At 41.2% G+C, this 15,834-nt stretch overlaps 1 protein-coding gene and 1 long non-coding RNA gene across 16 annotated transcripts in view; one reads left to right on the top strand and one right to left on the bottom strand.

Moving 5' to 3' along the window:
• Nucleotides 1–2,537, bottom strand: part of GPR89B (G protein-coupled receptor 89B) — a 97,515-nt gene extending 94,978 nt beyond the window's left edge. For 14 of the 15 annotated variants that reach the window (NR_183758.1, NR_183757.1, NR_183755.1 and 11 more), the window contains exon 1: nt 2,379–2,537. Coding sequence is in view for 4 of the 15 variants with exons in the window: in NM_016334.5 (NP_057418.1) it covers nt 2,379–2,420 (42 nt within the window). In the remaining 11 variants the exon portion in view is untranslated. Of the gene's footprint in view, nt 1–1,878; nt 2,168–2,378 lie in introns of those variants that run through there. The other variant, XM_005277402.5, reaches the window with a different exon arrangement.
• Nucleotides 2,538–2,638: 101 nt separating this feature from the next.
• Nucleotides 2,639–14,257, top strand: LOC105371229 (uncharacterized). The gene is made up of 3 exons (XR_922074.4): nt 2,639–4,085; nt 7,431–7,535; nt 13,240–14,257. It is a non-coding gene; the product is annotated as an uncharacterized LOC105371229 (long non-coding RNA).

Below are 15,834 nucleotides of genomic sequence, written 5' to 3'. Positions count from 1 at the left end.
GCTTCTTGGGTGTTCAACTTGAGATCTGAAGGCTTAAAGGGGAGGGATATGAGGAAAAGGCCCAGAAAGAGAAAACACACTGTGTGGAAATCTGGAGGCACCATAGCATGGCCAGGTTAGGGAACTAAAAGAAGTTCAGGAAGTCTAAAGAATAAATTGGAGCCACAGCTGAAGAGAGAAGAGCCAGGGTCCCATCAATAAGGGACCTGAAAAGCCATGTAAAGGAGTTTGAACTTCATCCTGTGCCGTGGTGAGCAAGATTCAATACGTGACCTCTGATTTCAGATTTCATTTCAAATAAACCTTTCAGTTAATACAAAACAGAAAAAATGAGCAGGGAGGGGCGCAGGGGGCAATGGTGGTGTTTCCAAGGTAACCACACCTCTCTAGAGAGGTGCTTTTTATTAAACAAATATTCACTACAACTCTACTATGTGCCTGCAACTGATCTAGATGCTGGTGAATACAGGAGAGAACAAGACAGACAGTATCTTGGACTTCATGGACAGATAACAAACACATGAATATACAAATGAACCATAGTAATAAATGCCAAGAAGATAATAAAACATGGAAATGAGGAAGAAGGCAGCCGAAATGGAAAGCTACTTTGGTTGTGGGCAGGGTGTCAGGTAAAACCTTCCTAAAGCGACATTTTTATTAATACCGAAAGGATGATAAAGTAGCCACATAAATATCTGAACAGAGAACATTCCATGCAAAGGAATCTTTGGGTCTTTCTTCCACATTTGTAAAAACCAGGTTTAACAATTAATTACTGCATATGGATACATGTGTGAAGTGAAAGTCTATGATTATAAGGCATACAAAATTAGAAAGCCACTTCCTTGGTTCAACGTATCAATTATATCCATGCTAAAAATCGTAGAGGCTGCAATGCAAAGCCAATTTTCTACTGACATTCTTATCTTTATTCTAAGTGAAAAGAAAAGCTAATTAAATATTGTTATTTTTCTTAAATTGGTACTAAGGCTAAAAATAATCCTGAGTTGTCACCAAGGGCACTGGGTAGTCTTAGAAAGGTTTTAAGCAGAAGAGTTACATGTCTAGGTTTTTTTACATTAATACATTTGAATACTATGCAGCCAATAAAAACAATACTTATGAAAACTATAGAAAAGGTGGTAAATTTTAAAAATGAAAAACTATTGCATTAGAGCGGTAGGATTATGGATGGCTTTTCCTTCTTTCTTATTTTCTTAAATATTGTAAACAAGTTTTTGAAGAGAAAAGGACAATGCTCCGCTCTACGGAGACGAGTATTAGGATGAAGCAATACAAAAACTGAATCAAAGAACACAAATTTAGTTCACTTTAAGCCCCCAAAGGTAACTGTTTCTGTTATTTGCCGTTTGAGAGAAAGAACAAGCAAAAACAAACACACACACACAAAATCTTTATTGGAAAGATGAGGGGAAGAAGGTCAACAGGCAGTCTGAGCTTCACAAATATTGGCCAACAATTATTTATTGAATGCCTGCATTTGGAAGTGGGGATACAGCTATGAACAAGGCAGGATCTCAAAAAACAAAATCAGAAACACAGACATAAATGATGCCAGTGCTATGATGAATGCTAGGAAGAAACAATAATTAACAATAGATTACATGGTAAAAGCAAGAGGCTAACTAGACGAAACTTCTATTGAGCAGAGACAGTGTCTTACATGTTTTTACGCTCAGAGCTTTATATAATGGTCGATAAATGTTTGTTGACTGTACAAACAAATGAAGGTGGCCAATGGAGAAGAAATGAGGGTCAGAAAAACATCCGGAAAAGGTGGGTAACTAAGCAGAGGATAAAGGACGAGGTGTCAGTGCAAAAACGAAACCTTATACTTTCAAGCATAGGTATTACCTTATACTGATACTTTGAAGCAGCAAATTTCTCCACACCCGGATTCAGGATTTGACATCTAACAGCAAAGCCTGCACTGACGTGTCCTCAGTATCCAGTATTGGCGCGTCGCACACCGCGCGCCCAGAACCACACAGGCTTCCCCAGTCCAGGATCAGTTGGCGCAGCCCGGAAGCTTCGAGGAGCTCCTAGAACCGCCGCCTTAGCTGGCGGCGCCGGCTCTTAGCCTGGAGGTCGGCGGACCGCTTCCAAAAGTGGACCGAAATTCCGGGGATGGATGCCGGGTGGGGACGCGGACGGCCGCAGGCCAGCCTCCTGACAGCCGGGGCTGAGGGAACCGGCCGCAGCAAATCGCACACCCTCTCTGTGTGCCAGAGTGACTGGCGCAGGCCGCGTAAGAGAGGAGCGAGACCCCGGACCAGCCCGCACCGCGGAGGACCGGAGAGGGCGATTCGGTGAAGGGAGGCGGACGGGTGTCGGGGCGGGAGGCGGTGACTCACCTGGGAGGTAATCATGATGCTGGAGTCGATCAGGAAACTCATGGCGAAGTGTAAGGAAGGCTCCTGCCTCCACTTCCCACTCCCGGAGGCCACAGCACGCTGGGGCCACAGGCCCCCTCACACGGTCTGCCTTCTCCCAGGTGCTGCAGCCGGGACTGCGGCTCTCCAGCCCGACGCCGTCAAGCTGCGCCCCAGTCAGCCAATCAGCGGCTACATCCACAGCCCCGCCTCGGGCTCGGGGTGGGTGGGGCGGACGCTAGGCTTCCGCCGCGGAAGCCCCAGGGGCGGGGCTTATTAGGGGCGGTGCTAAAAGCAGCAATGCAAGGTAGCGTTAACGTTTCTGAGGCTGAAGGAGGTAGGGCCTGAGAGCTAAGTGGTAATTCTGTTTTGTAATGATCCTAAGATAATAATGGTAATTATAGTAAGTCGGGCATTGTGTCCTAAATGTTATAACTTTTACTTGACTCGGCAAATATGACTGTACAAAGTGAGGGAAGACTGGAAAGTCAGATGAGATATGAACAAATATAACTAACCAAATACATTTCTGTGACAACAATGAAAAGCACACTGTCTGTAGCAATTTAGTGATAATATTGTACTGCATATCAGTCAGGCCACAGGTGGAGTACTGCACTCCATGTACCACACTTTGAAGAGATTTTACAGGCCGGGCCGGCTCACACCTGTAATCCCAGCACCTGGGGAGACCAAGGCGGGCGGATCACCTGAGGTCGCAAGTTCAAAACCAGCCTGACAAGCATGGAGAAACCCTGTCTCTACTAAAAATACAAAATTAGCCGGGCGTGGTGGTGCATGCCTGTAATCCCAACTACTAGGGAGGCTGAGGCAGGAGAATCGCTTGAACCCGGGAGGGGAGGTTGCGGTGAGCCGAGATCGCGCCATTGCACTCCAGCCTGGGCAACAAGAGCGAAACTCCATCTCAAAAAAAAAAAAAGAAAAGAAAAAAGAAGAGAGAGATTCTACAGAGACATATTGGAGCTCGCTCAAATGTGAGCCACCAGATAAGGGCTGCTGGAAGGAGGCGAAGAAAGATGACTCAGAACATGACATCTGTCTTCATGTGAAAGAATGGGTAGAACTGATGTGGCACTACGAATTATCTGTAGGGCAAAGGACTGGAAGTTAATTGAAGATAGATTTTAATTCAAAACAAGGATCAGTTCTTTAAGAGTCTGAAGAAGGGTTATTTTAGGAAGTAGCTGCCTCTGCCCCCTTCCCACCTGTTGCAGTGGATCAAATATACACTGAATCACTACCTCATTCATTCAACACTCATTTCATGAAGGCTTAACGCATTGCTGTGGGGCTTACTCTGCCGCCGACCTGGGGCCTAGCTAGGCTTTGTAGTCTATATAGTCTCATAGTCCTGCAAACTGGCTCCAGCCCAGGAAATCACCCTGTGTAGGAGTGGCTGCAGTCAAGACGCAGGAAGACAATCCTGAGGGGACCTGACATCCAGCATCTGAGTTCAGACTACTATAGTTTGAATAAGTGACCTGCAGATTCATTACACACAAGGGAACATGTCTTCCTTTTGTTGGATTGAACTCTGTGATACCAAGCAGTCAAAACTACCTGTCAGATGTCCAATCCCTGATCCAGAATTTCAAGGAGCTGTGGAGGCAGCTGTACAATGGGAGTGTCATAAACCAGAGAACTTTGTGTCCAGGCTATGTCTATTAGGTAAGCAGGTAGATTCCCACATAACAGCACCTAACTGACATTCAAGAGTGTGTAGAGTGCAGAGTGCTGAAAGAGACTATCAAGGCAAGCAGTTTACCTTGGTGGCTTACTGGGGTGCACAGTGGGGATCAGAATATCAGTAACGAGGAATAGCAGAGAAAGGTGTGCAATACCTGCTGGCCTAAGGCCTATGCAAAGCTTTGGGTGACACTATTCAGAATTCTCCCTACTGTACCACTTGTGTCCAGGTAAAGGACAGGCCTAGGTGATTCAAGCGACTGCTTTATCCCCTGATTTTGATTGAGGAATGTCTTTAGAAACCTTCGCACAGCATTTAGTATCCAATTGACTCTCCTTTCAAAGCAAGTCTCTTCTGCTGGTGGTGGACTCTGACACTAAAATGGCTTGTCCTCCCATCTCTACCGCTGGTAATATTCTCCCGATCCACTCTAGCTGCTGCCATCCTCTTAGAATAGTGGGATCTTTTGGTTCTGCCTCCATGGACAGTCACACCATCTGGGCTCTGAGTCCCCAGTTTGTGCTTTTTCCAAGGGAGCTTTTCAAAATATGTCATGTTCATAACTAGTAGCCATTGTTTGCCACTCATCCAGAGATTGGCAGCCAGTCCCATAGATGTGCTACAAAGAGTCGACTGACAAGATGATCAGTCTGTGTCCTTTGGATGAGTGTTTGCTCACACCACTTTACTGTCCTTTGTCATAGCAACTGCAATGTTCATACCTACGGTACTCTCACACTTCCCAGCACCATCCACATACTGACAGCTAACTACTTCATCCCCTTCCTCCAAATTAATGCAAAGGACTGGGCCCAGGAGTTGACACTAACACTAGATCCCTGGGAGACACCCTAGTACCTCTTCTCCATGCACATACATAGCACCTGCTCATGCCAGTGGCTGGATGATCTCTGTTAGGGATTTTCTCTTGAAAATTTTTACTTACTGTGACATAGTTGTAGATTCACATGCAGTTGTAAGTCTGGGATCTTTTGAGACATATGATATCACCAATTCTGTGGCATCCTACTCCCGCTGTCTCCCTTCATGGATAGACATCCTATCTTGTAGTTTTGCCTACTGTGCCAGGTTCACTGAGTCTCTGAACTCCCCTGTTTGCCCCACTAAGTCACCAGTGTAAGCTGGACAGGAAACCCCAAGTATTCAGAGGAAAAGTGTTTATTTCCCAATGGTCCCATGGACAGTATCTATACTTGATACCTAGAAAATGTATAGGTGCAGTTTTCTCAAAGTGTGGTTCTCTAACGACTTGGGGGGCTTATTTAAAATGTAGATTCATAAGCCCTAATGTAGACCAGTGGACTTGGGATTTCTGAAAGTGACTCTGAGGAGGAATCTGGGAGTCATAATATATAAAAATTATATACATTTATCATGCACAAAATGATGTCTTGAAATATGTATACATTGTGGAATGGCTAAATCAAGGTAATTAGCATATGTATTACTTCAGATACTTATTTTTTGTGGTGAGAATACTTAAAATCTACTCTCTTAGAGATTTTCAAAAATGGATACATTGTTATTAACTATAGTCACCATATTGTACAATAGATCTCTTGAACTTACTCTTGTTATCTAACTGAAATTTCCTTTGACCAACATCTCCCCTACCCCACCCAACTATCCCCCCCCCCAGCCCCTGGTAATCTCCACTCTACTCTCTGCTTTTGTGCATTCAATTTTTTTTTTAGAAGTAATCTGCATTTTTAACAGCTTCCCAGGAGATTCTTATGCACACTGACTGGGGACTGGTTGTGAGACTCTGCTCCCCACCTCAAAACTTTCCTAGAGTGAGTCAGCGCCTTCACACTAGGAAAATGCCAGTTCTGATTTGCCTAGAGAAAGGGGACTAAGGGCCAGAGTGGTGCTAGCTTTGCTCTTTCCTTTTTTCCACTCCCACCCCCCTTTCTCTAGATATGCTCACTCCACAGCCTCAGGAAGCCTAAAAATCTTTTCCAACCACTTGTGCTTTGGCTCAAGAATTCCCCTTCATCTTCCTTGAGTCTACTTTGAACCTCTTGCCTAGCTGATTCTCACTTTGCCAGACCTTCTTGGAGGTGCATTCCGGTCCTTTCCTCTTATACAATCTCATTTTGGATATATTGACCTTGGTGCTGACCTGGTGTGCACTGATTGGTTCATATGAGTTAGAGTTAACTCTGTATCAAGTGCTTGGTTGTTCTTGAGGCCGTGTTCCTGAGGAATAAAGAAGATTAAATAGTTGTGTGGTTTTATGCAAGTTACTAAACTCTCTGTACTTCAGTTTCCTCATCTAAAAAATAGAGATAGTAATAGTACCTTATCTCATAAGGCTATTATGAAGATTAATATACATAAAGCCCTCAGGAAAATAAGCACTTTATAGTAAGTATGCAATAATTTTTACCCATTATTATTATTATGAGTTTACGTTCAGTTTTCCTTCATTGTTAATTAGTTTCAATGTATATTTATTTATTAATATTTATAAATGTATGTTTAAAAGTTTTGGTTGTCAGTTATTCAAATTATACTGAAAAGATTGATGATTGTAGAGCTCCCAAATTTGGAAAGATTCAGCGGCATTATTTGAAATATATAACACCAACTTTTTCCATTTATTAAAACTAATTTTGGGATTCTCTGTTAATATAATTATCATGCAGAATGAATTTGATCCATATATTTTGTGAACAAAGGGGAAGAATGTGTAGAGATTAAATTTTAAATGGAATATATTAGTTGAAGTTCAAAGTAAAGGATGTTCATATTCTTAATGTATGAACTGTTCCAAACTTCTGGTCCCCTGCTGTCTGTGCTCAGGCAGAGCAGAAAGCTCTCCCTACTGCCCCACCACTTCTTGCTCCAGGACTAACTTCTTTTTGGGATAACTACCAGCAGGGACATTTGCTTATTTTAAAGAAGTGCCCACCTTTACCACTGGATTGAGATTTGCCACCATGACATTAAGACAGTTGCAAAGGAGTACAACACTGGCATATTTCCAAAGTCTGGGATATTCATTCTTATTCTTGGTTAACGTGATGCATACCCACACCAATGCACATATACCTTTTGATTTTCCCAAAACTGGATCACAAGGAGTGCTATGGACTCCTAGTGATCCAATATTGAAAAAATGGATCCTGTTTGTGTACCCCCAAAATGCATATGTTGAAGCCCTGGTTTCCGATGTGATAGTATTTGGAGGAGGGGCCTTTGGGAGCTGATTAGGTTTAGATGAGGTAATGAGAGTGAAGCCCCATGATGGGATTTGTGCCCTTCCAAGGAGATGAAGGACCAGCACACTCTCTTTCTGACAGGTGAGTATATGGTGAGAAGGCAGCTGTCTGTGAACCAGAAGGAGGGCCCTCACCAAGAAGTGACCATGCTGGCACCCTGATCTTGGACTTCTGGCATCTGGAACTGTAAGAAATAAATGTTTGTTAAATATATACACCTACTATGCACCCATAAAACTTAAGAATAAAAAATTTTTTAAAGTTTGTTGTTGAAGCCACCCAATGTATGGTATCTTGTTATAGTAGCTTGAACTAAGACAATGAGCATACTATGTTGTTACATAGTTTTCATTATATTTCATTTTAGAAATATATTATGGGGCTGGGCATGGTGGCTCACGCCCGTAGTCCCAGCACTTTGGGAGGCCGAGGTGGGTGGATCACTTCAGGTCAGGAGTTTGAGACCAGCCTGGCCAACATGGTGAAACCCCATCTCTACTAAAAATACAAAAATTAGCTGGGCATGGTGGCACATGCCTGTAATCCCACCTACTTGGGAGGCTGAGGCAGAAGAATTGCTTGAACCTGGGAGGCGGAGGTTGCAGTGAGCCGAGATTGTGCCACTGCACTCCAGGCTGGGTGACAGAGCAAGACTTTGTCTAAAAAACAAAAAACAAACAAACAAACAAAAAACAACAAAAAAAAGAAATATATTATAGGACAGGCATGGTGGCTAAAACTTGTAATCCCAGCACTTTGGGAGGCCGAAGTGAGAGGATTACTTGAGTCCAGGAGTTTGAGACCAACCTGGATAACATTGGGAGACCCTGTCTCTATTAAAAAAAAAAAAAAATTAGCCAGGCATGGTGGTGCACACCTGTAATCCCAGATACTCTGGAGGCTGAAGTGTGGGGATTGCTTGAGCCTATGAGGTTGAGGCTGTAATAATCTGTGATTGCACCACTGCATTCCAGCCTGGGTGTCTCAAAAAAAATGTATATTATGAATATTTTCTTTTGCCAAAGACTTTATAGCATTTTTATTGACTCAGTAACATTCCATCATATGGTTATCTCATGAGTAAGTTAACCAATCTACCTTTTGGATTATTTTTTTGGTGGTGTTTACTATAATAAAATAATATGATGGTGAAGAATTTGGCCCACAAGAAACACTTATTCAAGCCTCCAATTTTCCCTGGGCAAGGGAAGGTCACTGTGTCTATGTTCCAGCAAATTCTGAGGACACACATCAAGGTCCTGCAAGCTTGGCTACTGTGGTAGCCGGAGATGAGCCTGTGAACTTCTGCAGACCAATAGGCCACTAATGACTAGTGAGAAAGAGGTCAGGCCTCCCTCCCAGCAAGTGCTTCCCAAAAAGTCTCAGGGGTTTTCCTTGAGCCCCTCACTTGGAGGGGAGTGAGGGAAGGGGGTGAGAAACACCACAGCTCTTTCTTCTAGTCTGACAACTCTCTTCAAAGACTGCTCCTATCAGTTAACCCTTATCGTTCTCTTAAATAACCCAGAGGTGGATTGTGAGCTAGGAGTTGCAAGACTGTTTGGGGGCTACTTTTTTTTTTTTAAAGCAATTCTAGATTGTGCTTTGTACCACTTTTTAGAGAGTATAGACATTGAGCATTTATTGTCCTTGGTTATGTAGCCTTACTGAAACTCCAAGACATAGGAAGTATTTTGTTTAACATTTCATTACATATCCATTAAATCAGACTTGTAAATTACATTTAGGTCCTCTCTATTTTTGTCTTCTATCAATTCGTCAAGGACTGAAGTCTTTTATCACTATTATTTTTCTGTCCATATCTCCATATATTTCTGAGAGCTTCATACAGTCCAATGCCTTATTTTTCAGTGCAAAATGATTCACAGTATGTCTTTGTTGCATATTATATTTTATATTAATAAAGATCAATATTTTGGTTTGATTTAATTATTCTGCTCTCGTATTTTGTGTGTTTGGTCTTTATTTTTGCCTTTTTTCTGTTTTTTCTTCTTTTTGCTGTATGGACTGTGTAGTCCTTGTTTCTTGTTTTGTTTCCTAGTAATCTGGAAGGCATGCATTTTGTTTTAAAATAACACACACAACTTTATATTTTTCTTATTACTAACATACAGAATAAAATAGTATCTTTGTACGTTGAGAATACCAGGACACTTCTACTTTCTCACGTTTCTCCTTGTTACTCCCTTCACCCCACACAATACCCAAGTTTATGTTGGTGTAATCTGGGATTTTAAACCTTACTTTAAAAATATATTTTTGTTAGGGAATATTTATGATATTTGTCTTCTGTTTTGTAATTATACGTAAAATAGTTACATTTAATTCATTTTATGCTTAAATGTCTTCAGTATTCATCATCAGCCTCTTTCATACTTTGCCTTTTTGATTTCTTTTTTTTTTTTTTTTTCCTGAGACAGCATCTCACTTTGCTGTTCAGGCTGGAGTGCAGTGGCATGATCACAGCTCACTATAGTTCCTGGGCTCAAGTGATCCTCCCACCTCAGCTTCTCAAGTAGCTGGGACTATAGGCATGTGCCACCATGCCTGGCTAATTTTTAAATTTTTGTAGAGACAGGGTCTTACAATGTGCCCAGGCTAGTCTCAAACTCCTGGGCTCAAGCAGTCCTCCCACCTCTGCCTCTCAAAATGTTGGAATTACAGGTATGAGCCACTATTCTTGAGCCTTGAATTCTTTTAAAAAATATTTCTCTTGGGCGGGCGTGGTGGGTAATGCCTGTAATCCCAGCACTTTGGGAGGCTGAAACGGGTGGATCACCTGAGGTCAGGAGTTCGAGACCAGCCTGGCCAACATGGTGAAACCCTGTCTCTACTAATAATCCAAAAATTAGCCAGGTGTGGTGGCACACGCCTCTAATCCCAGCTACTCATGAGGCTGAGGCACGAGAATCTCTTGAACCCGGGAGGTGGAGGTTGAATGAGCCGAGATCATGCCATTGCACTCCAGCCTGGGCGACAAGAGTAAAACTCCGCCTCAAAAAAATAAATATATATATAGATCTATATATATAGATCTATATAGATCTCTATATATATCTATATATAGATCTATATATATAGATCTATATATATATCTATATATCTATATATATATATCTATATATATATCTATATATATATCTACATGTATATATATCTACATATATATATATATAGGCTTATGAAATACATTTTTTCTTTAAAGAAGGGTTTGCAGGTATTTTGAGCTTTTGCATAATTGAGAGTGCCTTTCAATTGGCTTCACACATGAATGAAATTTGGCTTGTTGTGGAGTTTTCAGCTTAAGTTTTTCATCCGCAATATTCTGTGGATAATGTTCTCTTTTCTGAAATTTAATGTGTTGTGGAGAAGCATGATGCCAGCCTGATGTTTTTTTTCCTTTGTGAGTAACTTGATATATGCTCTGTTCATCCACAGTTGGCACTGGAAGGACTAGCGCGACGTTGAGAGGGTTGGCTGAAACTGAGAGCCATGAGTTTTTGGTTCCTTATGCTCACTCCAGCTTCCCTTTCCCTTTTGGGCTATTACTCATCCCTATGAGCAACAGTGGCCTCTGAGGGAGAGGAGGAATCTCTCTCCTTCACCCTCCAGACCACATAAACCCTTTTCTTAAATTGCTATCAAAGCTGAGTCTAAGGTACATCATTTAATAATAAGACTAGGCCGGGCGCAGTGGCTCATCCTGTAACCCCAGCACTTTGGGAGGCTGAGGTGGGTAGATCACAAGGTCAGGAGCTCGAGACAAGCCTGGCCAACAGGGTGCAACCAAGTCTGTACTAAAAATACAAAAATTAGCCAGGCATGGTGGCATGCAGCTGCAGTCTCAGCTACTCTGGAGGCTGAGGCAGGAGAATTGCTTGAACTTGGGAGGTGGAGGTTGCAGTGAGCTGAGATTGTGCCACTGGACTCCAGCATGGGTGACAGAGCAAGACTGTCTCAATAATAATAATAAGGCTATGCTAAATTACAGTGATCATATCACATAGAATGATAATTATGAAGGTGATGATAGCTAACATTTGTGGAATGCTTACCATGTGCCAGGTACTGTTTTAAGATCTTGACTTGTATTAACTCATTAACTCTCCAACTTAGTTCCTAGCTTGCCTCCATCTGGCAGATGCCATTTTCCCTTCTTTTTTTGGAAGCAATAGCGAGCATATTATGACTCTTTGGATTGTAGGCTCAAGAGAATGAGGCTCAGAGAAAGGAATTCCCTTTTGTTCCTGTTTAAGGCCCACCTTCCAAATTCTCTTTTCTCATCTTAGAATCTTTCTCTTTTCAGCAGTTGACATTTGAAATATCTATTATCTTCAAGGAAGCCTCACCTCCTATTGAGAGAGGTATGACCCTACTCTCTGTTCACAAGCAGACAAGAATGTGAAAACATAGTTGTTAAACAGTGGTACAAAAACCATTGCAGGGGTTGTTCCATTACATTTCTAAATTATAGAATTATGTCTTTATACTTGCAAATCAAAATTTATCTAGATTTTTTCCCTGGTGCATGATGAATCCCTTCCAATTTGCAATTTTAGGTCTTTTATCGGCTCAAGAAAATTTCCTTCTATTGTATCTTTAGAGCTTACGGTTCACTTGTCCTGACTTTTCTTCAGGAGCATCGATATCCATGTGTTGGATTTTTATTGTCTTTCCTCCATATCTATTATTTCTTCTTTGATAATTTTCATCTCTTTGTCCTTTCTTTTGGCATTTGGGAGAATTTCTGATATTGATTCTTTACAAAATTGATTTGGTTTTATGTATTGCTAATTCTGCTCTTTATTCTTAAATTCTGCTGTGGCATTGTTTGCTAACTCTGCCAGCTCCTTTTACAATTCAATCTAGTACCTTATTATCTTGTTTCATGTATTGTTTTATAGAGTCCATGTTTTCTTTAACCCTTTTTTTTTGAGAGTACAAACAGATTTTAAGTAAATTTTTACTTTTTTAAGTAAAGATTTTTTGAAATTATGCCATTCTTTTACTTTTGGTGTTTATTGTTTTCTTCTCTTGTCTCTGAAACCTTCCACAGACTCCAGGTTATTCTCTGTCTAGTTGTTGTTATTTTCCCTGTCTATTACTTATCTATAAAACTGAGAATCTCATCCATCCCAGAATAGATATAGGACCTGACTAGACACAGTAAAATTAGGTCAGCAGAATTAATAAAAATGTAAAGAAGAATCCTGTTTGACTATTGGATAAGTAAATTTCTAAAAAATATTTGGCCGGGTGCGGTGGCTCACGCCTGTAATCCCAGCACTTTGGGAGGCCAAGGCGGGCGGATCACGAGGTCAGGAAATCAAGACCATCCTGGCTAACACGGGAAACCCCGTCTCTACTAAAAAATACAAAAAATTAGCCGGGCATGGTGGCGGGCGCCTGTAGTCCCAGCTACTTGGGAGGCTGAGGCAGGAGAATGGCGTGAACCCGGGAGGCAGAGCTTGCAGTGAGTGAGCCGAGATTGAGCCACTGCACTCCAGCCTGGGTGACAGAGCGAGACTCCGTCTCAAAAAAAAAAAAAAAAAATTTAAAGGAAGACAAGTAAACTATAATTCAAGAAAAATATAGAGTTGTCCTAGAATTTAGTGCCATAGGCTGATACAATTATGAAAAAAAACTGAAGAAAGTTGACCTTCTGATCTGAGAGATCTTAGAGAGATGAACAATTGTTGTAATATCATCCCCGTCATAATATCTGCCCTATAGATATTACTGAGTTTTTTTAATTGTTAAGTTATATTCCATTGGCTCAGGTCTCTTGTGTTTATCTAATCTCATCATTTTCTGTTGGTTACATTGATCTAACTCAATTTTAGAGGTACCTCATTTTTTCTTCCATCTACAGATCTAGCTAGTTTAAAGATGAAAACTGCAGCAGATGAGAAAGAAAAATACAACTGGAAAACTTGGATGAATTAGAAACACTAAACAGTTTTCAGGAAAGCTGAGTATCAGAGAAAAACAGATGCTGGAGGAAAAGAAAAAAAGAGGACACAAAAACTGTCCTGGCCAAAGGGGTCATGACCACACATTATCCTTGGATGAGGGCTTCCTTTATGGTGACAATTGAACAGAAGCATTTAGAGCAGATTACAATGCATATTATACGTACAATGAAATCATTGAAACAGAAAAAAGAGCCAAAATTGATGTCTTTGCCTTAAATCTTGCTTCTTTCTAGTTTATTCTCTCCACAGTGGTCGGGGCAGTCTGAGAGAATACGGTGGAATCGATGGTATGCGACTTCCAAGGTTAGGTCATAAAAGACATTGAAGTTTCTGCTTTGTCTCTTGAATCACTTTCTCTGGGGGAAACCAGCTACTGGGTCATAAGGACACTCAAGCAGCACCATGGAGGGGCCCAAGTGGAGAGAAACCAACTTGCCAGCATTAACTTGGTAGTTGTGCAGCCATGTGAATGAGTGGATCCTACCATCCTAGTCAAACCTCTGATAACTGAAGGTCCCACCTATATTTGACTGCAGTCTTCCAACAGACCCCACCCAAGCTGCTCTAGGATTCCTGACCTACAGAAACTGTGAGGGATAAGATATGCTTGTTGTTTTAACCCACTAAGTTTTAGAGTGATTTGTTACACAGCAATATACAACAAATACACAAGTCATCACAGGTAATATTTTTATTAAATATTTGCATAGTACAAACCTGGGTCTCCATCTTTGTAGGCTTTGATTTTTGTTTTTTACCAATCACTGACTGTTAAGCCACATATTTTAAGTTTTTGTTACAATCACACCTAACCTCAATGTACCAATTTCTGTAAATAGATAATGCTAGGTACCGTAACCGATAAATCTTGACATCTGAGTGGATTAATACAATAAAAGTTTATTTTTCATCTCATGTAAGGTCTAAAAGTCCAATTAATGGGAATTTGCAGGGTGGGAAGCCCTCTGATCAACAACTGTTCAAAAACTGACATCTTCATAACATGGCTTCCAAGGTTGCTCTGGGTGACAGCATCTTTAACATAAGGATGCTATCTTTAATATGTGGCTTCTGGGGTTGCTCTAGGTGACAACATCCAGTAATTCATATGAAAATATCTTTTTCTTCCTTTATTTTTACTTATGACAAAGAAAGTTTGCTTGCTTTCAAGCCTGGAACGCCTGGGACCTTCAGTGAACCTCTTCCTCAGATACATGCCTGCGTAGTGTCAACTTGCTCTATTGCTGGGAAGTGCTTGGCTGATTATCTTCTTCCTGCCCTGGGAGATGTCTCACTAATCATTCATTCATTCAGCAAACATTACAACGTTCCAGGCACTGTGCTAACTACTGAATATTCAGTGATATAGGATAAAATCTCTGTCCTAAAGTTGCTTGCAGTCAGATGGGAGAAAAGCAAGTAAATACAACAATTTGGTAAGTGCTATGATAGAAGGGCACAAAAGTACTGAGGGACCACAAAGGGGGGGGCAACTGACTTTTCTTGGGAAGTTTGTAAAATTTCATAAAGAGAAAGACAACTGAGCTGACTCTCATAGGATGAGAAGAAGCTGACAGTAGGAAAAAGGCAGGACAGAGCACAGAGTCCTGAAACAACATGACTTTCATCGTGATCTGCCAGGACTCTCCATATTGGGGACTGGCCAATGGTTCTGTAAGGCTGGGGCACAGTTATGTGTAGACAAATGTGGGAGGTGAGGCTAGAAAGGTGGTGTACTAGTCGGGCTGTGCTGGCAAGCAATGGAGATGATTTTGGCTATGTTAAATTAAAAAAACAAAAAGGAACTCAGAGGTAGCTTAGGTAGCTTAGCAAATTGAAGGAAGGCTGAAGAACCATGATCTGAAAAATGTGGAGCCAAACATCTGGAAATCTAGGTAAGCAGAAACTAATTGTGAATTTTTCTTCTGGAGCTTCTGCCAAGATAAATGAATTCCAACCAATTTTCAGTTTCTTTGTTACTCTTATTCAAGATTCACATTCCAGGGAGAGAGTGACTGGCCCATTTGGGTCCAAAAACCTGACCCTTGACCAGGGGATGCTGGGTTAACATGACTAAGGGTTCACTAAGACTACATCTAATTGAGGAAGGATGTTTCCCATAGGTGAAATGGAGATTGTAAAAGAAGGAAGAATAGATTCTGGTCAGGTAAAAACAGACGTAGTCTCTAGGTGAGTTGGAGTCAGTAATAAAGGGCTTCAAAAGTCATGTTAAAAAAATCTAGAATTTATTGGGTAGGCAATGAAGAGCTGTTGAAGGAATATGAGCAGAGAAGTGACATGATAAATCCCAGACAGAAGCTTTTGGCTAATTTTATTTTGTTATCAGTTTATTTTTACCTGTAATGAACAAAGTTAACTCTTTCTGTAGTTCTCATTGACATGGAAGAGAACAAATATCATTCTATCGCACCTTTCCATAGTCCAAACAAATATACAGTTTATTTTTTCCTGAGATTTGTGTAGTGAAAGAG

Source organism: Homo sapiens, chromosome 1, assembly GCF_000001405.40.
Source record: "Homo sapiens chromosome 1, GRCh38.p14 Primary Assembly".
Taxonomy (NCBI): Eukaryota; Metazoa; Chordata; class Mammalia; order Primates; family Hominidae; genus Homo; species Homo sapiens.
The sequence above is the reverse complement of the archived record's forward strand: the minus strand, read 5'-3'. Positions and strand labels throughout refer to the sequence as shown.